This window comes from Homo sapiens, chromosome 18, assembly GCF_000001405.40.
Source record: "Homo sapiens chromosome 18, GRCh38.p14 Primary Assembly".
Taxonomy (NCBI): domain Eukaryota; kingdom Metazoa; phylum Chordata; class Mammalia; order Primates; family Hominidae; genus Homo; species Homo sapiens.
The window spans coordinates 28143292-28168714 of NC_000018.10; the positions used below are offsets into that span (position 1 = coordinate 28143292).

Below are 25423 nucleotides of genomic sequence, written 5' to 3' on the forward strand. Positions count from 1 at the left end.
CAGTGTGGTTGTTATTTCATAGTGTTAGATACACTGCTAGTGACAAAATGAAAATGTATGATTGCAGTTATTTTATTTTCAAGAAATATGCTACCACAAGAGATTTTTTTTTCCTAGTCAGTGGAGTGTTAAGTTATATTAAGGACTACATATTATCTTCAAAAGCCCCAGGTTCTTCTGCTTGTAAACAGGTGTGTACAAAATACTAACAGTGACAATAATTGAAAGATGCTTTTTAATTATAAGGAGTTGCTTAACATATTCCCCAATTCGCAAACATATCTAGTTAACACACAAGTCATGGTGGTAAATGGGGAATAAAGACCTGCTCTAAAATAAAGTGGCCACAAGACACCTGGATATTTAGGCTGGATCCTTTCTCTGTGTTATACCATAAGTTTTTTATCATCACCATCATCAGAACTAAATTAGAAATCAGGAAACCTGGGTTCTAATTCCAGATCTGCTGCTAACAATCTAAAGAACTATATAATCACATATACACCATGAAATACTATGCAGCCATAAAAAAAGAATGAGATCATTTCCTTTGCAGGGACATGGGTGAAGCTGGAAGCCATTATTCTCAGCAAACTAACACAGGAAAAGAAAACCAAACACTGAATGTCGTCACTCATAAATGGGAGTTGAAATATGAGAACACATGGACACAGGGAGGGGAACAACACACACCAGGAACTGTCGGTGGGTGGAGGGCAAGGGGAGGGAGAGTATTAGGACAAATACCTTATGCATACAGGACTTAAAACATAGATGACAGGTTGATAGATGCAGCAAACCACCATGGCACATGTATACTTATGTAACAAACCTGCACGTTCTGCACATGTGTCCCAGAACTTAAAGTAAAATTAAAAAAAAAAAGAGCTATATAATCACGGGAAAAGCCTATGATCTCTGAGCTCTAATTTGCTTATTTTTAAAATGAAGAGTTTGGCCATAAATGCTTTTAAAACAGAATAGAAAAACGCAAAGTAAAAATGACTGCCTAAACATACAAAAATTGATCCTAATTTATAAAGGCAAACATATATATGCCACGGGATAAAAAAGGAATGATTTTTCACCAGAGGGGAAAGAGCAAAATGACAATATATTATGAAATTAAATGGTGATGAGGATATTGAAAAGAACTAACACACAAGCCTTGTAATGAAGCATGCTACAAAATGCAAAGAAAAAAGATACTGTCAAACTCTACATTCCCTTTGACCTAGTAATTCTATTTTTGAACACAAATTCCCCCAAAAAAATCCCTAAAGAAAAATCAAAGATCTCTAAAAAGAATCTCCATAGCAGCACTACATATAAGAGAGGAAAATTAGAAACAACCTGTATGTTCAAAAATAGAGGCACAGTTAAGCAGAATCTGGTTTTGCTAACAAAATGGGACAAAGGCCTATATAGCCATTTTTTAAAATACAGAACTATCTTCAAAGAGTGGATGTATTCATGTGATATTACATTAAATGTTAAGGTTGATCACAGAACACCCTTTTTATGATTTCACAAAAAACACACGGTTAAAAACTAGAAGATAAATGGAAGCTGTACAGTTAGTTCTTTGAGTTTGTTATTTTGATAAAATTCATTACACTAGCAAAAAATAAAGGGAAATGGGGAGGAAAGAATGCTCTTTAAACCACAGTCCAGTTTGTACATTTCATGCTTCTTCTATATAATTTTCTAACGTGACAAATACCAACTTATGTCTCTACCTTACATTCAATGTTCCTCAAGCATTTTTGCAAAGATTATGTTAATTGTTGGAAAAATCATCAGCGTTCATGGTACCAATACACCAACATATTAAACTTTTATACAAAGTCTAGTGTGTCAGATGTATCCTAAGAATGTATATTGTACATACTGGTGAGCCATTGTCATCCTGTCCCCAGATGCCATCAACGGGAAATTAAAGGAAGCATCCAGAGTTAGGAGTTACGATTCCAACAGGGTCTTGGACTCTAAAGTCAGCCAATATATGGTAGAACATGCTATGAGGTGAATGCCTTGGAAAACTGTCACATACCTCTTATGTACAATTACTGCTTTCCTTAAACACTATAGGCGACAAAATCATAGCAAAAGTCATCACTCTGGTTGGCCTCGTAATATATCCCTTTCAGCTGTGGCAAATATACAGTACATGAATTTACTGCAGTACACAGAATTCATAGATATAATTATGGTGTGGTATTTGGCTTCAGTGTATAGCTATAGCATTGGATTATCCTTCTAATAAAAACTCCAAAAAGATGTAAAAGGTAAAAACCCAGAATTATCCTAAGTAGCAATTCTCCAGAAGAAACATTAACTGGAGATAACATGCTTGTGTTGAATAGAAATGCTGATGTTCCACAAAAGCCTGTGTAAATTTTCTTCCTTCCAAAAAGTTGTTTTTTTCTACTAATCAATATTTTAAACAGTATGTTTCAAGCTTTACGATGCTGGTATCCTTTAACATATTCTGAGAATGATAAAGAAAAAAGTAATGGTGTCATGTGAAAAACTGTTTAAAAAAAAAAGGCTAAAACCTAAAATTGGGAACAAGTGGATATACCAAAACTGTAAAAATCTACCAGAGACCATTATACATACTTTTCTCACTGATGGCTAGAGCACAAAGTAAAAAATATTTTCAATCTTTCACCTTTACAACTTTAGCAAAAATCCTGTTTCTAGTTATCCTAAAAAGACACTGGCAAAAAGCTATGTCCAATTTCTCCTGTCACCAGCATTATCTAATAATGTGAAAACAAGCTATCATTTTCAAAACTATTCAACGCGCCAAAGTAATTAATCTTAAATCAATGGCTGCTAGTGACACACCATGTGTTTACTTTAAACAACAAATTATAAGCTTTTAGAAAATGAAATTACCCATTTAAAAATGAATCTCAAAAATATGCTGCAGCAATGCAACAAATTCCACTTTTTATTATCTGTCTGAATTATTCTACAGAATCATATCAATATATTTTATACACATTTACAGGTCATACAAGTTCTAGGGTGCCAAGTAATAATTTAAAGATTTAAAGAAAATGGGATACACACAGAAGAACTCCAAAAGTCATATTAAGTTAAAGAAAGGCTGTACACGGATTTAAATTAAACCTCCATTACCCACCAGATGAGATAGCAATTCAGTGTTGAGACAGACTAACTCAAACATTCACCCATTAAAATACCATGTAATGAGGCAGGGACAAGAGAATGCCTTAAAAAAATTAAAAATCAACTTCAGAAAGACAGCACAGGTGAGAGCAAATCCTAATTTAAATAGAAATTAAAATAAAATGTAACCTGCACCCAAGAACGATAGTAGCTAAGAGGCCATTTACATTTCAAAGTCCTCTGTCTATGGTATTCTTAAGTACTATACCACTAAGGTTTGTCGGTACTGTGGAGACACTTCAATTAAGGCTGTGTGGTAGAGCTCTGTGTAAATTAATTAGTTGAGGTTACGCAGATTTTCTAAAAGCAGCTCTCTAAAACAGCCTCAGAGATATGCAAGATTTGTGGGGAATTAAAATTTAAACACAACTTACTAATCAATTCTTCTTGCTTTCACATTTCAATGACATTTTGCGTAATAATAAATAAGTCCATGAAAATACTACTAACCAAAATTTTATTTGCTTTCAATTAGAGCTAAAGGAAAGGGCTTTCAGTTTTCCTTTTGATACTTAGGTTTTATTTCAGATTTTATCTAGACTTATTGGCAAGAGTTTCCATATGATAACTATAATGAACTTGATCCATATTTAAATGGGAAATGAGACTATATTTAAAATTCACATATGCTACAACTAAATTAGCTTTCTAGTAATTGCTATAAACAATGTCATAACAAAAATATGAATTTCATACTCTTGCACTGAGACTTTACATGTTAAATTCATTCAATGTAATTCAGCTATATATTAAAGCTTCACGTTTTATCTAATAAAATATTATAATAATTTCCTTTCTTTAATTCAAAATACTAAGTAATTTTTTGCTGTAAGTAAATTTTAAAGCCATTAGAACTAGATGTTTCATATTCTTCAAAATATTATTCTTTAAATAAAATGTATACACAAAAATGGTAATAATCAGTTACATAACGGTTTCTCTGTAAATTAAAAATGGAAGAAATCTGACGATTTCAAGAGATCAGGAGCCTTCAAATTATGTATATAAGAGATTCATAAGCTCTTCTGTAATCCTAAAATAAAGTCCCTACAGTCTCATCATAGTGATTGTGAAAAATTCATACTTGTTATACAGTAGAAATGATTTAGGCTTTTTTAATGGCTAATTTGTTTCATGAGCATGGACACTGCATGTACAAATATATCTTTTGAGATAGTACCATTGAGAAGAGGCTGTCCTTCATGCACATCCTTCGATAAGACTGCACTGTAAACATCTTCAGGAAATCCAGTCTTGCATAATGCGATTTCACCAGAAGCCTCTACAGACGCCTGCAACACAAGAAAAAAAAAAAAAATGTGTGCAATGATTGCTACCTCCTTCAACTGAGAAACATTCCACTTGGCATAAAGCCTCATTTTTTCAACTATCTTGTACAAACAACCCCTTTGTTTCCAAGTGCTTACAATTAGAATGTAGAGGGCAAAGGGTTAATCATTTTGATAACTGGAGTAGAAGAAACAAATCCCACTTGTCTAGTCCAGTAAAAGCGAAATAATACACATTCTAGGTTCTTCTAAGGACTGAACATTTCCATTAAAATGCTCATTGTGACTGAAGAACTACCAAGTGGGCGTGGGGTTTGGGGGACAGCCAAATAGTCTTTGGGCTCCACAAATCACCATCACTAACTTAAGTTTTCATGAAAAATGTATACATTCAAGTACACAGATTTTTATATTTTTAGCTAATTTTCTATAAAACTGGTTTCAAGATGCCATGTTCATTTAAAAATAAAATTATAATATACTTACAACAGTGGGACAGATAATATTTTATACCAAGTAAAACCAATCAAAACTATATATTTATTTCTATAATTTGAAGGACAGTGATACATTAAAAATTTAAGTAAAGATTAATACAACTATGTTTTTACACTTAAAATTAGAAAGTAACCAAGTATCTGTCATTTTCTATATCATCATATGCACAGTTAATTTACTCAGTGTGCTTAAAACTCAGTCATACCTACTACTGTCTAGCTAACCCTCCAAGTTAGTTGCCCTACTTCTTTCAGCCCTACTGACACAATTGGAGGACAGTCAGCCCTCAGCAGAGCTCCTGTAGCATCTGCATTAATTGTAGGAAACTCTACCATGTACTAATGGGGATTCAAATACAGAGGAAGGACGAGTAGAATGAGGCTACCCAATGAAGGGATTCCAGTGGCCATAGGGACAGCATTAGGGACAGTCCACCCTAGTGAGAACCAGAAATTGAGAGGAAGAAGAAGGGAAGTCCCAGAAACAGAGAGATCTCAGAACAACTGTCTGGATGAAGCAATGCAGGGCAGCTTCATAATTAAATGACTACCTGAATTATGCATGTGAAATTTTGCAAATACTAATGTTGCAAAAATCTAGACCAATCTAATAAACTGTTCTTTTCAAATCCAAGAAAATAAGAAATAAATTAAATTTAAACAGTATTAAATATCACAGTATTTATTCTCAAAAAATTTTTAGGAGCAACAGTGAGATACTAGTTCAGGCCCATCGAATGAGTAAGCAGTTTTAAGTCTGTTATGTGCAAGAAAGGGCTGTATCAAGTGAAGAATAAAGAAGAACCAGTCCCCTAAAAAGGTGTGAGTGGAAGCTGGTACAGTCACCTTGGCATATATTTTGGCAAACTCTAGTAAAGATGAATGTGGATATATCCTCCATATTCCTAGGGAAATATTACGCCACATGAGTGCTCCAGTTGACATGTGCAGGAATGTCCACTGAAACATGACTGTAATAGCAGAGATTCTGTACATGTCCATCAAAAGGAGAATGGACTAATACATCATCACAAAGCCAAAAGAAGAAAACAACATTAAAATGAAAGAACTGGAACTACATTTATCCAAACAGCTACATCTCAGAGGCAAACTAAAACAAAACAAAAAGTCAGTTTCTTTAAGTTCCATGTATGATTAAGATATAAATTTAATTATAAATCAACCTACAGATGACTATTTAGTAAGTTCAGAAACCCATTTGTGTGACATCCCAAATTCAGACTGAAGACAAGGCACACTGCAGTATGAAATCTTGCAAAAAAAAGTAGAAATCATGACTGATGATTCCGCTTATATAAAATTTAAACACAAAAGATAACATAATGTTTTGAACACATACTTATGTAAGAAGAAAAGGAAAACAGCATAGTGATAAACATGAAATTTAGGATAGTGGTTACCCCAGGGGAAGGAAAACTAGGAAAGGCATCAGGAAAGATTGTACAAGTGGCTTCAATTTTATCTGTAATAATTACTTTCTTTCAAAAAGACTGAAGGAAACCAGGTAAAATGTAAAGATCCGCATAGACACACAGGTACAAATTACAGTATTCACCTCACAAACTATCTGCTCTACATATTTCATAATGAAAAAGAGAAAATATCAGAAACCAATTGAGAAATAAGAAGTGAGGCTTCCAACACCCATCAAATTTGGGACACTGGGAGACAGTCTGATACTTGACACGTGTAAACATCCAGGTACTGTCCATGCCTGGCACAGTGCAGGCACTGAGTAAAGGAAAGCTTTTGCTTTTAGCTAACCCAAACGAACACAGGGAACTCCCCAGTTTGCCATATAAAATGGACAAATGTGTTGTAAACCTGTGTCCCACCAACATGTTACGAGTCTGCCTCTTCACCCTTCTAGTCCAGGCTTCTAAGAGCAGTGAAGCATGGCAGGTGCTAGCCCATGACAGGTCAGGCCGGAGCCCAGAAACGCCGTGGCCAGAAGCCAGCGATGGAAGGCACGGAGCAGACGGGGGTCACGTTTCAAATGGGGGCGTTCAGGGTAGTAGAGTATGCGGGTTTGTGGGTAAGAACTCAGAGATCAAGAAAGTCTCAAGACTAGAGGAAAACCGTAAGCTTTTATTCAATCTTGTTTCCCAGTGGATCTGCCCTAAGGCAGGAGAATCAGCGGCACCAAGTTCCTGGTCCAAACCCACAGAAATAGGACTTCAGGGCCATGTCGAAGCTGTCAGGAAGACAGTGAATGTTCACCTCTGTGTTTTGTTCTCTGCCTTATTTCAGAAAAGGGACCTTCTGTCCTCAATGTGCTGCCCCTTACTAAACCTCTCCATGCTCATTTTCCTCATGTAAAAAAGGGTACCAACCAGCCAGGTTGGCCATGAGAATTATTGAAAAAATGCTCTTAAAGCACATCTCTAATGAATACTGACTACTAATATTAAATATCCATGGAAGTCATGTCATACTTTGAATAATTTCATATTCATCTTAAATAGCTGAAACTTTCCTAAATTCTTCTTCCTTAAGACAAAACGGATCCACAAAATAATATAATCCTGGATCCAAAATACTAATCTATAATGTATTTTCTTAAAAACAATCTCCATAAAATTGTTAAAATATATATTCTCCCTATTTATTTCCTCTCTTAACTTTCAGTCAAAAAATAGCAAAGTTACCAAGTTCAAAAAACAAACAGGAAGCACTCAAATGAATACAAGCTCCCAGCTGGACATAGTGGAGGCTTACTTTGCACCAAGCACTGTGTTGGTAAATCAGTATCTCATTCAATTCTCCCTGCAACCCTACAAGGCTGTGACTGATACCAGGTATGAGACTGCAGGAGACCAAGAGCTGATGAGCAGAATCCCCTTAGGGGGGCTGACTGCACTGTGGTGGTAATCCTTGTTGGGCATTGGAAGTTCTCTGGTCTAACCCATAGCTAATGCCTGAATGTTCTACAACAGTAGCTCTCAATCAGGGACAATTTTGCTCCCCAGGGGACATCTATCAATGTGCAGACACATTTTTAGCTGTCACAACTGCGAGGGGGTGCTACTGGCTACTAGTGGCTACTGGCTCTCAGTTGGTTTCTGGCATTTTCTCTTTTTCATTATAAAATACGTAGAGCAGGGAATTTGCTAACCATTATACAACACACAGCACAGCATCCCTAACAAAGGAGTGCCAAGCTCAAAATGTCAACAGAGCCAAGGTTAAGAAAACCTGTTCTACAGCAACACATGAAAAAGAGGTATCTACCTACCCATTAACACTGCTATCGGTATGAGGATCACTGTCTGCTCAAGTAGCCTCATCACTCTTGGAACATCCTGCATCCCAGAAAGCCAAAACCCAGCCCCTGAGGCTTACTCCCACATAAAGTCATCACTCTGCCAGGCCTAGGATGAAATTCTGGAACTTCCAAGAGGAGAAAGAGGCATCCTACCCTCAACAAGTTATCTGTGGGTATGAGGAGGAGGTTGTGAATAACATACATTTCCCTAATATTTGAATGGTGCATGGGTTGGCAAGCTTTTTCTGTAAAGGGTAAACTAAGTATTTCAGGCTTTGTAGTCCATAGGATCTCTGCTGAAACTACTCAATCTGCTGCTGTTGTGCAAAAGCAGTCATAGACAATCAGTATATGAATGAACATGGCTGTGTTCATTCTAATAAAACTTCATGTATCCTGAAATTTGAATTTCATTCCATTTTCAAGTCTTGAAAGATATTCTTCTTCTTTTTCTTGCTTAAAAGCATTTGAAAATGTAAAAAATATTCTTGGCCAGACAAAAATAATGGCAGCAGGAGTGTAGTTTGCAGATCCCTCGAATAGTGTGTTAAGTTCCGTATCACATTGTTATCTCACTTCATTCTCACAATAGGCCCCTTAAGAGGGGGTTAAACTATCTGCATTTTGCTAATGAGCAAATCGATTCTCACACAGAGGTACAGTGAAATACCCAAGACCTCACATCCAAGAGAGAAAGGGCAGGATTCAAACTCTGTAGTCTTTCTAAGTACAACAAATAATTACAATACAATCTTTCAAGAAACATGTACTGAGTGTTCATTTGCCACTAGAAACAGAAAACAAGATACAGCCCCTGCCCTTAAGGAGCTCAAGATTTAATGTGGGAGGTTAAGATATGCAGAGGATATGAGCAAAGCCCAGGGCAGGGAATCTGGGGGCTTCCCAAGCAGAGAGCTGGAGTAGCAAGGCGCTAGAGAGTGGCAGGAAAGCCATCCTAGGCAGTCACTGCTTGAACTAAAACAAGGCAGCAAGAAACAGCATAGTGCCTGGGGAATAACAATGAGTTCAGTGTCGCCGGAGTCCAAGAAGCAAGGCAGGATGTCAAAAGTTGAGGCTGGAGAGTTAGACAGGGTTAGATCACAAATGGTTGGGGGCCTGGGGTTATCCTGTTGGCTGGGGGAGCCAGGGACAGATTTTAAGCACAGACCGAATGCATCTGACAGAGAATTCTCTGATAGTTTTGTGGGAAAGTGTGTGTGTGATAGGGGATGACAAGTGACAACTGGGAGACAAGCTAGGACACAGACCTGAGTCAGGGCAGGGGCTGCAAGGAATGAAAAAGGGGCAGATTTTGTCAATACCAAGATAGTTAAGATCGATAGGGCCTTCTGAGGCAGGGACTCACTGGGGGAGGGAGGGAGGAAATGATGCCTTCCCTCATGTTTCCAGCTGAGTGGCTGTGAACACGGGTGCCACAAGTAGGAAAAATAATTGCAAAACTATAATGTCAGGAACAAAGTGCTAAAGAAGCAGAAAGAATGGGATGATAAATCTGTCCGTGGAAGTCAAGGAAGACTCCATAGCTGAAGTGACATTTAGGCTCTGACTTTAAAGATGATTAAAAATTTGCCAGGAGAAAGAGGGGGAAGTGGAAAAGGGCATTCCAGGCAAAAGGTACAGCAGAACAAAGCCCCTGGTGATTTATGTTGAGCTTGTAGTCCACCAAAACCATCCTGATCTTTTTTTTTCTAGGCAACTGTTAAGTTATGGCTTCCTCCTCTATTATCTTTGCTGCTGATTTTGGGTCCTTAGGGGGAGCAATTTATATTTAACCCTCCAAAATTTGGTCTCAATAAATTAATAATTCCAGCTGGCTTTAGTCATTCCTTCCAGCTTTATGTATCAAGAAAGTCTAATGAGATACCCCAAAGTCTTCATGTAGATGCTACTTAGATGCTAAAAACAGGGTATGTCACATGCCCAGACATGGTTTGGGGAAATCTGCCCAGGGGCAACACCCCCCAACCCCCCGGGGCCCTAAGCCCTGGGCTCTTAAGAAGAGCAGAGTGACTGCAGCATGAACTTCCAACAGGTCAGACTGCCTGGCTTTAAATCCCAGTCCCATGGATACTATCTGCCAGACCTCTGAGAAGAAACAGTTCCCCATCTGTACAACAAGAGTACTAAAGACAGCACCAACTCATAGGGCAGATGAGAGGATTAAATGAGTTAATATGTGTAAAGCACTTAGGATAGTGTCTGGCACATGGTTATTCAATGTCTTAGCTATTTGTCATCACAGTACTAATACTATTGGGGCAACACGAATCCAACTCATGGTACATCTGCCATACAGGCCGGTAGGTCTCAAACTTACTCAACACAGCAAGCAATCTGGGACATTTGTTTAAAATACAGATTCTTGGGTCCTAGCCCAAGACTCATTAAAACAGACTCTCAAGAGGCATGATGGATAAATCTGTGTATTTAACAAGTGCCTGTGCTGCAAGTGGTGGCCACACATCCAGCCCTTATCTTTACCTCTGGAAACCTTTCTGAACGTTCTCAAAACGGCACAGCTACCTTTTGACCCTAGTCTTCAAACCCAATAGCTTAGCAACAACAAAAAGGAATACAGAAACCATGATTTTTCTGTTCTTAATCCCATGCTCTCTTTATTCTGAAAACTACACCTTCTTGATTTTGAATTTCTTTTGCTTTGAACAGAGCATTACCCCATCTCCAGTCCTTTAGCAATTCTCCTCTTCTGCACAATTCCTCAAGGATGACAAGCAGTCAACAAGCCCTCTCGGCCCACCAGCGTGAAATTCACGCTGGTCAGAGGATCTGAACTCATTTAGTGCCGCTCTGTGCTCTCGCACAATCAGCTCACCTATCTTGAGTTTCAATTTCCTCTTACAAGTATTTACTCTACTCTTCCCAGGCTGAAGATCGACCTCCTTGTCTAGAGAGGACAGAAGTGTAATAGGAGTTGAGGAGTTCTGCTTGCCTGTGAGTATCAGTCTCTCTGTTCTGGTTCTGCACTCGCAGGGACATTGTTTTTGTTCTTGTTCAAATTTTTCCACGGTCTCAATGCTGTGAGCTTTAAAGCCGAGTCCACTACTCTTTTCGGTTCCCGTTCTCATTATTCTTTTTCATAGTCATCCTTGGTCACTCAATCTGCTTTCCAATTTCCTCCAAGTCACTCCTAAATCCAAGCTCTTAAATATTCCATGTGGAATCACCATGGACAGACTTCAGTTGCCTTGTCTCCTCACTCTCTTCCTCATTAAGATCATTTATGATTATTGGCTAAAAATTTCACCTCTGAAAGCAGCCTAAACCTAAGGAAATCATAACTTTTCTTTCTGGCTCTGAAGACTGCCTAACCAAAACCTAGACTAAGTTAGTTATCATAAACTCTTAAATGTAATCCATTGGATGTCAGGTTAAAACACTGATCTCTTACTTTTTCCCTATCAGAGATTCCATGGTCACAATCTTGTAACAATTACATTATTGTTTGGGAGATTACCAAATGCAGTCAACAAAGCTGAGGCCTTCTTTTGCATTATGTTTGCTCCCCTGATTCCTTGTGGAAATAAGGGCAATAATGGGTAGGACTGGGTTAAGACTGAGAACTCTGCAGCAAACCTGCTCAGGTTTAAATCCAGCCTCCACCATCTACTACCTGTGTGACCTTGGCAAGCCATGTAACCTCATCTGTGCTTCAGCTTCCTCCTCTGTAATAATAATAATAATAGCTAAAGTACAGGTCTTTAGGATTGTTGTGAAGAATACAAAGGGCTTAAAAAACAATACGTGATTCACCACAGGACAAGGGTTAGCTATTATGATGCTGGTATTGTTTTGATTGTGGAGACTTTTATCTCTTTGTTCTGTAAGTAACTGAGAAATATTTTAAAATTATTTTGTGAAGAAGGAATACCGTAAAGAAATCAAGCCTGCAAAAAAACGGAAATTCACTCACAAACAAGGACAAAAGATGCACAAGTGGAATTCCCTTCATGATACGTGATTTGTGGGTTGGGGGATGGAGCCGCAGTACAGGGAGGGTGACAACTATGGTAATACTTTTATTATGCGGTTATGTCTTCCAAACGACATAAGCGAACATAAACAGTTAATGAAGACACTGTTAACGTCGTTAGTTGAGTACATGGTGATAGAGTAATGACACTGTTCGAGAACATTCAGCACGACTAATTTTTTTATTTTTTAATCCAATTTCTCACCATACAATTACAGTTGCCAGATTCTCGACATCTCACAGGATTCCATCCATGATGTTGGAGGCTATGTTAAGAAGACTATTCAAGAGCTACTGCCACTCTTCAAGATTTTCTCTGTGTCAGTAATGCCACTGATGGCACTTTTGAATTTCACATCCCTGCAAAAATGCTTAAAACGTGCAGAAGTTTAACCCTGAACAGCTGCAATATTTTTGTTTTGTCAAGTACCATTCTGGAAGGAGATTATCTTGTCTTGCATGGGTTTTTTAACTCTTTCTTGCCTTCATGATGTGCTCTAGACCAGCTTAGGTTCAATGAATACCACACTGAGGCCACACATTTGCCCCATCTGACAGCCTAGTAATTTTCATCTTTATTTTAATTATCTTATTAGGATGTGTCCTTGAGTATCTCTAGTATCAGTACTTTTAGTTTTCTCATTGTCATTTCTTTTAATCAAGTAAGGACAAAGAGAATAGGCAAAAACAGCATTGATGCTGGCACAGGAACCTGCAAACTGTTGAAACTGAACTCTTAGCTAAAAGGCAGCCCCACAATACAAGAGTTTGATGGACAAAAATCTGGGTCAAAATCTGGGTCTGCATACAAAATGTGGTACAGAATGTCACCTTCCCAGGTACAGAATGTCACCTTCCCAGGTATAGCATGTCACCTTCCCAGGTACAGCATGTCACCTTCCCAGGTACAGAATGTCACCTTCCCAGGTATAGAATGTCACCTTCCCAGGTACAGCATGTCACCTTCCCAGGTACAGCATGTCACCTTCCCAGGTACAGAATGTCACCTTCCCAGGTACAGCATGTCACCTTCCCAGGTACAGCATGTCACCTTCCCAGGTGCAGCATGTCACCTTCCCAGGTGCAGAATGTCACCTTCCCAGGTACAGCATGTCACCTTCCCAGGTACAGCATGTCACCTTCCCAGGTATAGCATGTCACCTTCCCAGGTATAGCATGTCACCTTCCCAGGTACAGAATGTCACCTTCCCAGGTATAGCATGTCACCTTCCCAGGTATAGCATGTCACCTTCCCAGGTATAGCATGTCACCTTCCCAGGAGTAGAGCCTATCAGGGCTTAGGACAATATGAAAACATACATCGAGTGACATCCATATAGACCTCTGTGCAATCCCACATCTCCTCTGCCAAAGTGAGAAGAGGCTTCCTAGGCTTCCAGGCTTCCTTGAGTAGAGTCTCAAAAGATAGACAGGAGCTTACCATGAAGTGGATGCTTAATGTAACAGGTAGTAACAATGTACCTACAGATTTAATTGGCAGGTAAAAGGCTAATACTATCATTAGATAATGGCCCAGGCAGCTGTGCAATTAAACAGTCAGAAAAAGTTCCAGAAGTGCCCGTGGCATTCCAGGAGAGATGGCCAATCATGGCTCAGATTGATTCTGTCCCATCAACTCATGACACTCAGCAGAGACTGCAACACGCTTATACTCAAAATGTTATCAAATAGTATAGCACTTGGCATTAGACTGTTTATAATGAACTTGGAAATTCATTCAACTAAAGACACTCAATATCAGTGACTGCAAATATTTACTGAGTGCTTAATATGTGCCAAAAAGCATGCTACAATGCTTTCCATGCAATATATCTTAAATAGTCCTCACAATAACCCTATGAGGTAGATGCTGTTAGTACCGCCATTTTGCAGGCAAGGAAACTAACTTAAAGAAAACTGCCCTAAGTCATCTAGTTAGTCAATTTAGGGACACTATTCAAACCGGCATCAAAAGGCCTTGGGGATTACCCTTAACCCAACCACTACAACTTCCATTAGGAAGCATTCACATACATTGACACATAGTACCTAACTGGCTAAGGGCTGGAAACTGTCCTATATGAATTGAGACTAAGTGAAAAATCTGCCTGCTGCCATAATAAACTTTCTCCTAAAATATGATTCTCGCATACGATATGTGATATATGCTAATAAAACAATTTCAATGTTTCTGTTCACTATGGAAAAAATTAGGAAAAAAAAAGACTTCAGGTAAAACTTTTTTAAACATTTTGTTTTAAGTCCTCCAAATCAAAGCCTCACACCCCCCAGCCCAAACTCTTCTAAAAGTATACATGGAAAGTTATCAGTCAATAGCTATCATGGCTAGTATGTTAATTTTCAGAGGTGATATTGATGAAGGAATAATTATAGTCTATAATGAACTCTTTATACACTTTATTTGCTCTGGAGTCCCCTGTATTCATGTACAATTAGGCCCATTTCATAAAACCTGGAGCATGGTTTCACTTTTTAAAAATGGTTACAGATGTTTACAGTCCCCGGAACTCTGATTTAATTTGAGTAGCTGGCCATAGTGATGATTTATGTAATTCTGAGTCCCTGATAAGATAAACACAACCCAATTATAGCATTATTCTTGTGAGAAAACAACATTCAAGGCACAGCTTCCAGAAATGCATTGCAGCGAAAGGAGGCATAACGCCAGAGTTCAAAGCCTTTCCTGAACTTATTCTGGAAGCAGCACCCCATCCAGTGGTGTTCTAATAGATCAAGCAATAAAGAAATAAATCTCCAAGCCCTGCAGGCTGAGAGGTTGCAGAGCTAATATCGTCAGTTCCAGTTTCAACTCAAGGGTGAAGGACAAGCATTGTCCACCCATGGATATCTTGGGTGACTGATGTTTGGCATCTGGATAGTTTCACAGTGTAACCCATAGAGGAAATGCTTCTTCCCTTCCTGATGCTTCATTCCATGGGAAGGCACTCTGCTAACTCTCACTGTCCCAGTGCTTTCCACTGCCCAGTCAGTGTTACCCTGAATGGCAATTCTTAAAGTATGGTCCGAGGAGTGGACTCCTAGGAGTTCCCACGACCCTCTCAGGGAATCTACAAAATCAAAGCCACTTCCATAATATTACAACATATTTGCCCTTTTCACTCTCATTATCTCACAAGTGTAAAGTAAAGTTTTCCAGAGGCTATGTTATGTGTGATACCTTAACAGAGAAAATTCAGAAGCAGATATGAAAAGCCAGCTATCTTCTTATTAAGCCAGACATTAAAGACACTGCAAAATGTAAAGGCACAATGCTACTCTTCCCACTAATCTTGTTTTTCTCTTTTGGAAAATACAGTAATTTTTCATACAAATTGTTATTTATGTTACGCATACAACTGGTTTAATATTTTAAGTGAATTAAATATATAATTTTTTCAGTTTAAATTCTCTATGGTAAACAGCAATAGATATTATCTACAATAGAAAAGCTCACTGAAGAACTCAATAATTTTTTAAGCATGTAAAAGAGTCCTGAGACTAAAAAGTTTGTAAAGTGTTATGTTAAACAAAGAGGGATGGACCAAACTTACCTGAAGCCTGCATTTGAAAGAATAATCTGAGCAGCTGGTGCCCAACCCTGTCCCCTACTCCGCCCATCTGGGAGTCACAGGTCCACAGAAAAGAAGCTTGGTGATCTCATTTTCCATGCTGGGAGCTCACAGATTCCCTGCAGCAATCTGGCAGTGGAAGGAAGTGGGCATGTCTTTGAAATGCTGGGATTCTGGGATTCATTGTAAGGGGGACTTGCCAATAGATGAAGGCCATGCCTGCCACCCTAGTGCTTATCAGGACTACGGTGATATTTTCCTTTCATATTTTCTGATTCTGCTGGCTTACATTTCCCTCGGTTCAGAATTCAAGACAGGGAGGACAGGTCCTATTTACTGGGCCCTTTCAAAGACTTCAGCACTTGGTGAACTATCTGGGGATCTTGAGAAATAAAAAAGGAGTCCAATGTAGGGGAAGAAAGTACTCATGGAGGAACTTGGGCTTCTGGCAGTGGGAAAAGGGTGCTTTACTCAGGACCTGCAATTTTTTTGTTTTTTTTTTTTTTTTGAAAGGGAGTCTCACTCTGTCACCCAGGCTGGAGTGCAGTGGCGTAATCTCAGCTCACTGCAACCTTTGCCTCCGCAGCTCAAGCAATTCTCCTGCCTCAGCCTCCTGAATAGCTGGGACTACAGGTGTCCTATACCACGCCCAGCTAATTTTTGTATTTTTAGTAGAGACAGGGTTTCGCCATGTTGGCCAGGCTGGTCTCGAACTCCTGACCTCTGGTGATCCACCCACCTCAGTCTCCCAAAGTGCTGGGATTACAGGCGTGAGCCACCACGCCTGGCCCCCGGCACTTCTTTTAACTTGGTGGTTTATAGCCTTGATTGTGTAGGGTGGCTGGTTTTTATAGTTGGAGAGGTGGCTTTTAACATCAAAAGGCTTAAATTTCTAAACCACAGAGTATTTTGACCTTGATGCTTGACCACCACTTAGGTAGCTTATCTCCAGGAAAATGATAGCTGTTTAAGAGGTAGCGCCTCGAGAAAAAAATAAAAAAAAAAACAGCAGGACCTCAGGAAAGACTATAGGCCAAGGATCCTAGAATAGAAAAGAGGCAGGATGCACAGCGACCTTAGCCCAGTGGTGAACAATTTGGGTGAGGGATGCCACAATCTGGGTGAAAGCTGCCGCAATTTGGCCTTGGCAATGGTCTAAGGTAGCTCAGGACTCTGGAAGTGCTGAGGGGCCTCAGCTTGAACGTGCTGAGGGGCATAAAAAGAGGATTATTTCAACATCTACTGCCTAAAGACTAGTCAATGAGCAATGTTTGTTATTTTTTAATAACACTGAGTTCAAGAACACTAGCAAGGGTCTCACTTGGGCAAGGTGGGGACAGCATGGATTCTGACAGCTCGACCACTGGCTCAAGGGTCAGCCTCCACCAAGTGGTCTGGATGGCCTTTACAAGTGAACAAGAAATCTTCCCTTGAGGCAGCCGTCTTTGGCCAAAGCAACTCCATAGTAAATGGCAGAGAAAGAGCCAGTGGGGCCCGAGACTGAAAACACCTGTTCCACCAGTCAACCACCAGACCAAACCCAACATGGTGATAACACTGGGCTGTCAGATCCAAGGGAGACGAAGGGAAAGTCTCAAAGGGAAAGCAGGTTTGAACAGGCTGGCTGCAAACCAAAACCCAACTGGGGAGAGGCTCCCAGTGGGAGGTTGTTTAGCACTTCCTATTTACCATTTGGGGTACCTCATGCATACCGGGTTTTCTTTCAGAAAGCTGGCATCTGAGATACTGTCACCTAGCACAAGGTTCAGAAATGTCCAATGATCCTTGTCCTTCTTGAGGTGCCTTTTTTCTCATCTAGCATATTCAGTATCTTTATGTTTCCACTTCCCCCTTTCAACTTTGTTTAGTTCAAAGCTTGCAGATTATAGACAAGAGGCTTAGACTGACCAGCATCCAGGAAAGGTTAAAATGAAGAATGTTTTCTCTGCCCACTATCAGTCCATCCCTCACATACCACAAGCTCTCTACTGTGTTCTTTGGAACACTGAGAAACAATTTCACCTGGATGACTCTTCCAGAGCAGAGCCTGGTTTGCTTTCTAACTTTGAAAACTGTTAAGACTGTTGCTGTGGTCATCATTTGGTTTGGGAACTCTTTAAAAAGTAAAGCTGGCCGGGCACAGTGGTCACGCCTGTAATCCCAGCACTTTGGTAGGCCAAGGCGGGCATATCACCTAAGGTCAGGAGTTCGAGACCAGCCTGGCCAACACAGTGAAACCCCATCTCTACCAAAAAATACAAAAATTAGCTGGGCATGTTGGCACACACCTGTAGTCCCAGCTACTTGGGAGGCTGAGGCAGGAAAATAGCTTGAACCCAGGAGGAGGAGAATGCAGTGAGCCGAGACTGCATCACTGCACTCCAGCCTGGGTGACAGAGTGAAACCCTGTCTCGAAAAAAAAAAAAAAAAAAAAAGCAAAGCTATAGATCTTCCAAGACTTCAAGAAGTTGGGAATAAGTCTGTCCTGACAGATGCCCATCTCGCCCTCTGAGGGGAGTTGCCACATTTTGGAATAAGCACACACTTGATGACTAAGAACATGAGCTCAACAGTCAATCCAAAATTTGGGGACCGTCAGAGTGTAAACCTCATCCTCTACTTCCATGTAGTGGGAGCTGCACTAGTAATAACATTCTTGACCTTTGGCCAACTTAGATAAAACGAGTGGGCATACAGAACCCAGGCTCTTCATCACCTTTTCTTCCTGTCAGAGCCACGCCACCTATGTCATGCAAATATTGTTAAGCTATAGGTCCGTAAGCTTCGACAGATGGGAGCACTGTCAAAGATGGGATGCCAAGGGTAACTAAATCTGAGATGTGAAAGATTAAAGCCACATTCTCTAACCTTGTCTTTATCAGTAATAAATGTTGTAATTTTGGTTCTCTATGTACTGATTCTTTTGTCTTATTTGTCCAGAACTGAAATAGATAAGGAGCATTATTGCTTAGGCCCCTTCAAAGACAACAAAATTATCTACAAAGTCTCAATCTTACTGAATACTCAAAGGCCAAGGCTAAATGATCAAAAAGAAGTTGGTCCAAATAACATTGTTGAAGTGCCAGCAGGGCCTCAGGCCCACTAGGATGTCTCTGTGCTGAGTCTGAGGCACTCAACCAAGACCCCTCATGTACTTAGGGGAGCACAAATGCTTGGAACAGAAAGCCACATGTGCCCTTAGATTGCTGGGTGAGTACAGAACTGGGCCAAGGTGGGGTGAGGTCAGGAGAAAGAGAGTGATTCACAGAAGGAACTATCAACAGCTCATGAGACACTTGCATCTCCGAGTCACCACCAAGAAGCTGCATGGCCAGCGGCAGAAACTGCCTGCTTCTTTGGTAGCCTATCCTGCATCTGGCTCAATCTGTTAGATTTTCCCATTCTTAAGCCGAGTTTGCTCCATGAAACTGAGATCTTTTAAATCCTCATTCTAAAGTCCAAATCCTCCTTTAGGCAACAATCCTTCAAAGTCCAGAATAGACTAATCTTGCTCCCACTGGGTCCATTCTTTTGCAGACTTTCAAGGAACTGGCCGAGTTGTTATCAGGAAAGTAAAGCACTGTTAAAGCCCTGGCCAGCCACCTCACAACAGTGTGCCTTCAGGTGAGTGGTTTCAGCCAATCTCTGTTCAGACATCTGTAAGATGGATAATGATAATAACGTCTACCTATTGCAGAGGATTGATGTGAGGATTATATGAAAATGCAGGTCAAGTGCTTGGCCTGGCTCATAGTAAGCACTCAGTAAATATTAATCCCCTGTGTCGGCTATCTAGAAGGTTCTCAGTGCTTCAAAACACACCTACACAAGCCATGACTGAAAATGTTAGGTGAAGAGAATGAGAAACACACAGCAAGGCCAAGCTACAGACAAGTTACAAACTTCATCCAACAGGCTAGTGTTCATAAAGACACTTCAAGGCAAACCAAAAGGTCAAAATACATAGAAAAACTCTCATCAGAAACCAGATTTCAAATTTAAGCCAAAATGAGACATTATTATGCAGTCCACCAGATTTTTTTAAATGTTGAGGTTTGACTACAACAAGTATCCTAAAATTAGGGGGAAACTATGCACATACTGCTGGCAGACCAGTATGGAAAACACAATCTTGCATTAGCTGGTAATGATGAAAACATGCATACCTTGCAATCTAGCAATTCTACTCCTTGGTACACATCCAAGAGCAGAACAGTGTTCCATCACCTGGGAGTCTGCCAGACAGGCAAATTCTCAGGCTCTACTGTAGGCTTACTGAATCAGACTATCAGGGCTAGGGCCAGGGATCCACATTTAAACAAGCTTTCTGGTGATTCTCATATAAAGTTTGGGGAACACAGCCCTAGAGTATCCCTGGCATTTATACCCAGGTGGCATGCATAAGAATGCTGACAGCAGCAAAAAACTGAAACCACACACGCAAGTCCATCAACAATAAACCAAATAAGTAAATTGTACCATATTCATAGCATGCAATGCTCTACAGCAGTGAAAATGAATAAATTACAGCTATACAACTCAGCTGAATCTTATAAACATAACGCTGAGTAGAAAAAGCAAATCACAGAAAAATACATTATATATACACATGCATGATACATGTATACATCTATGCATGATGTATATGCATATATAAAAATGTCTATATAGATGATAAAACTACAAAGGAAAGCAATGAATAAATGTTAGAAAAACCCAGATAGTAGTTATCTCTGCCAGATAGTAGTTAACTCTGGGTGGAGAGAGGGGAATGGATGCAGTACTCTGGGGATGTCCAAGGAAGTAGGAATATTCTGTTTTCCTAACCAGGCTGGTGGTTACATGGATGTACTTTATATGCTTTAATTGTCCTTTAAATAGTACACATACACTTTATAGACTCCTCTATATCGTATCCTCATATCACACTTCACAATAAAAATTATTTTTCAAAAGTGACCTTCATATATATATAAAATACAAATGGATGTCAATCTGCTTTCGGTGTTTTTCTGCCTAGATTCAAATACATATCAAACCTAGATACACAGGCCCTGACATCAGGCTACTTGCATTTAAACCCCAGCTCCAACATTTAACAAAATAACCTTGTGCAGCTCAGATAACCTCACCATGCTTTGGTGTCCTAATATGTAAATTGGGTATATTTGGGGAGGAATTTAATGAGTTAATACATGTAAAGTGCTTTGAACCACGTGTGGTACATAGTAATTACTAAAAAAATGAAAAGCTACTATTAGAATAGAAAGATGCTAAGTTAAAGGCAATACTTCCTGCATCTAATCGTCAATAAACCATCAGCACCTATGAGAACAATGAATCCACCTTCCCTGTTTTCCCAGATGCTGTACTGGCATCAACCAATATGGTACCATTACACTCAACCCTCTCCTCTACAGGGTTGTCATCATCATGTTAAAAGCATTCAGAGGCTGAGTAACTTTGATTCTAGCCTAGTCTCAAAACACACACACACAGACACACACACACACATACTCCCACATGTGCACACACATGGGTCCTTACTAGCATATGAAACAATTAAATTACAGAAGCAAGAGACAGATCTAGGAGGAGACAACAGAAAAGCTCCTATCTGATATACCTGTTGTTTCCAAATCAAATCACTGGCAGAATTAACACTCTACATACACTAATTCCTTCCCCTAATTATAAAGACAGTGGAATTATATCAGCCTAGATAACATCTGTTAAAATTTAAGGAGGATTGTTAAAATATTTGCCCTTCAATTGTGGTTTCCAAGTGTGGTCGATGGAACACTGGTGGTAGGTAGTCCCTGCTGAGCTATAATTTATCTGGTTGTCACACTGAATATAGAACAAAGTCTTGCATGCATTAAGTGCTCAAACTTATTCAAACAATTAAATTATCCATTGATTGTGTCTGTGTAAAACAATGGTAATGACCAGGTCCCAAAATCTTCAAATAAATATCCAACATCTTGCTCACTATATGAAAGCACTTCTCTTTCTATTATTATTACTATTATTAGAGACACAGTCTTGCTCTGTTGCCCAGGCTGGAGTGCAGTGGTGTGATCACAGCTCACTGTAACCTTGAACTACTGAACTCAAGTGATCCTCCTGCCTCAGCCTCTGGAATAGCTGGGACTATAGGTGTGTGCTCCCACACCCAGCTACCAAACCCAGCTAGTTATTTTTTGTAGAGAGGGAGGTCTCACTGTGTTGCCCAGGTTGTTCTCAAAGTCCTGGGGTCAAGCTATCCTCTGGCCTCAGCCTCCCAAAGTATTGGAATTACAACTGTGAGCCATCACACTCAGCCTGAAAGCACTTTTCTAAGTGATTTATATATGCACACGCACAAACACACACTAACCCATTTATTCTTCATAACAACCTTATGATAGATACTATTTATTATCCCTATTTTACAGATGGGCATACTGAAAGAGAAACATCAAATGTGTTGTCCAAGTCCACACAAAAAACAAGTGTCAGAGCCAGGGAACCAATGCAAATCTGGCTTCAGAGTCCCCAATCTTTTTTTTTTTTTCTTTTTTCTTTTTTTCAGAGTCCCCAATCTTAACCACTGTGTCACACTGCTTCTTCAGGCTACTAAGTCAGTGTAACCTTAAGAGAAAAGAAAGAAAAAGATTTAGAAATCTACAGAAATGATGTACTTGATAAAAGAAGCATTTCAGTTCAGAAAAACAGAAACTTTAACAAATGCCAAATGTATTATTGTGTGTATATATGTCACCACATATACAAAATCCAGGGGACAAAATAAAGCAAGACCTCTTTCCACAAAACACATAGAAAAGTAAATTTCAGGTAAGTAAAATATGTATATGTGAAAACACAAACAGATAAGTAATATCTGACATAGTGTGACGTTTGAGGAAGCTGTCTTTGGAGGTGGACAGGTCTCAATTTATATGACTGCTTACCTACCAAAGAGGAGTAATTCAGACACACTCATATATATATATATATATATATATGTCTGTATTTTAATTATGAAGAATCAAGACTTATGAAAATAAGGAATCACAATCTTGACAGTATCTATTATATATGCAAATACTAAAAAAAGTAACCTGTCTTTCCAAATGCTTTATTTTGCACCCTAAAATGTTATACGCAATCTGCAAAATAATCCACTGTTATCGACGTTTGAGTACACCACTATCTCCCTTTAAAACACAGCTTCATCAAGAAGGCCTCAAATAAAGAGAAGGATCATAAACCAAATCATGAATTTAACTCAGTTTCATTTACAAGGTACTTAATTCTAAATCAATTTGTAAATTAAATCAATGGTTATGATATTCTCCCCAAATGTTCTTATCTGTCAAACAAAAAAAGATAGAACTGTGAATAAGAAGTGAAGTCCTCAAACACAAACATGGTATGTACACAATTACTTTTATGGCAGCAAAACAATGTGTAGAGGCAAAAGCAAGTGAAATACAAATTATCTATCAATAAGCTAAGGCCACACCAAAAGCACAATCTTTAAAATATGGTAAAATTAAATCCACAAGTGTAAGAAGATAAATAAATTAGAGAAGCTTTGAAGCCAACAAATCCTTGGTGGGCAATTACCTATGGAATTTGATTCCTTAAGTCTTCATCATTATGCATGGAAGCCTCTACCAACAATCTAGAGCTACTAAACCATTATAAACAGAAAAGGCCTCCAGAAAGAAAGATGCTGGGACAAATGTGGACAATCTGCATCCCTCCTGGCAGACTCTCAGATCTTTAAAAAAGATATACAAATATAAAAAAAGGTAAATGGTACCCGGATACACACAGTGTGTGGAAGTAGAAACCCCTCAATGTACCCTTTCCAAAATTAAAAACAAAAAACTGGGTAAAGCCTTGTTGAAAACTGGGTCACTAGTAAGCTCAGAGAAGGTATTAAGAAGCATCGCTGAAAAGATTAGAGTCTGTTAACACCTAAATCTTCTGATTAAAAACTTCAGGTCAGAAAGATATTTAGTTCTTTGTCTCCACTCTCGTTCTAATAAAAGGAAGGACAAGAGAGACTATAACTTAACAGAATTCCAAATGTATTTGGCATTTGGCTGAAGTGATATTGCCAAACTACCAGAACTATGGCAAAAGATATTGTAAGAAAACCCACAAAAGGTATTTAGTGGCTTGACACCATAAATGTGCGAGTGGCCTTTAGCTGCAAAAAATGATTAATCTTTCCATTTTAAACCAACTTCACCCTCCTTACCTCCAATATATTTCTATAGTGTCCGTCTTTCCTAATTTTGTGACAATTACAAATACATATGATATAAATATAAGAAAGATTCTGCGTACTGAGTGGAAGATGCCAGACACAAAAGAGAATATGGTTTCACAAAGTATAAATGAGCAAAAAAATCATGCTGTTGGAAGTCAAATAAATAGTTACCACTGAGGGACGGTTAAAATTGGAAGGAGGTACTGGTAAAACTCTGTCTTGATTCAGTGCTGATTAACTAGTATGTTCCATTTAGGAACATTTAGCAGGCTGTCCACTTCTATGTATATTTTCCTGTATGCATTTGACACTTCCATAAAGTAAATGTATATGTGTGTATTATATGTACATAATCTGAATTTTGAGTTCCCTAAAATATCATATCAGGTAGCAGGATATTAGAACTCAATCGTAAAGGTGTTGACACCAAATAGACTTTAGCAAGAGAGTGGGTGCCAAAGGCCAATATTTTCGCTGCAAAAACAGACTTTTCTTTATTTACTCAACCCGAGAGCCATAAAGAATGAACTTCAGACTTTGAATGTCTGTGTTAACCAATTAAGACAACAAAAGGAAAAATAATAACAAAGTGGTCACAGTTTCGAGTTTATTAAAGATTTATGTTAAGCGGGAGCGGGGGGATTACATCCCCTTTCAATTTAGTAAATGTAATTTTTTTTAGTCCTTTATTTCAGATTCCACTTAATAGTTTCCCAACCAACAAACAAGACATTTCGTGCAAGATTACAGTCAAGCCAAGTGTATCCACCCACCAACAACAGGTCAAGTTACAAGTAAAATAGTTCTAGGTTTTTCCCAGCAGCAAACAAATCAGTATCTGTACTCAGTTACACTACAGAATATTCACCGGAACTTGTCTGCAGTGGGTCATTTCAAGATGTGGACATGTATATTAAAATATGCCAAATAACATTATTAGTGTGCGAAAAAGTAATGCAAAGTGTTCAAATATGGAAAATGTTTGAACATTAAACATTAAAACTTTTCAAAAATTGGTGGTGGAATATCTTGCATTTACTTTCACCCTGAAGAATATGGAAAAAAGAGTTTCAAAAAAAATGTGTGGTCTTGTGGCCTGAGAGTTTATAGGCTTTCAGAAAGTATTTTAAGTTCCAAGATTCATTAAAAAAAATTATTTTTGAGTACTTACCAGCATATTATTTGTTGATCAAAACTATTAGAAGAACTTTTAAAAACTGATTATGAATGCTTCTAAAATGTTTTTTCTCTCCTAAAGACCACAGGAAAAAAGAATGAAAAT

At 38.9% G+C, this 25423-nt stretch overlaps 1 protein-coding gene across 3 annotated transcripts in view, besides 1 other annotated feature; it reads right to left on the bottom strand.

The window, feature by feature from the left end:
* CDH2 (cadherin 2) overlaps positions 1-25423 on the bottom strand; it is a 244252-nt gene that overhangs the window by 210413 nt on the left and 8416 nt on the right. For 2 of the 3 annotated variants that reach the window (XM_017025514.3, NM_001792.5), the window contains exon 2: positions 4382-4493. In XM_017025514.3, coding sequence (XP_016881003.1) covers positions 4382-4493 — 112 coding nt within the window. Of the gene's footprint in view, positions 1-4381; positions 4494-15857; positions 16007-25423 lie in introns of those variants that run through there. The other variant, XM_011525788.1, reaches the window with a different exon arrangement.
* Positions 11675-12373: an enhancer, noted in NCBI's record as "OCT4-NANOG hESC enhancer chr18:25734930-25735628 (GRCh37/hg19 assembly coordinates)". NCBI's record gives its function as "activates a minimal SCP1, AML or CMV promoter by ChIP-STARR-seq in naive H9 embryonic stem cells {active_cell/tissue: H9 hESC(naive)}" and the evidence as "EXISTENCE:reporter gene assay evidence [ECO:0000049][PMID:30033119]".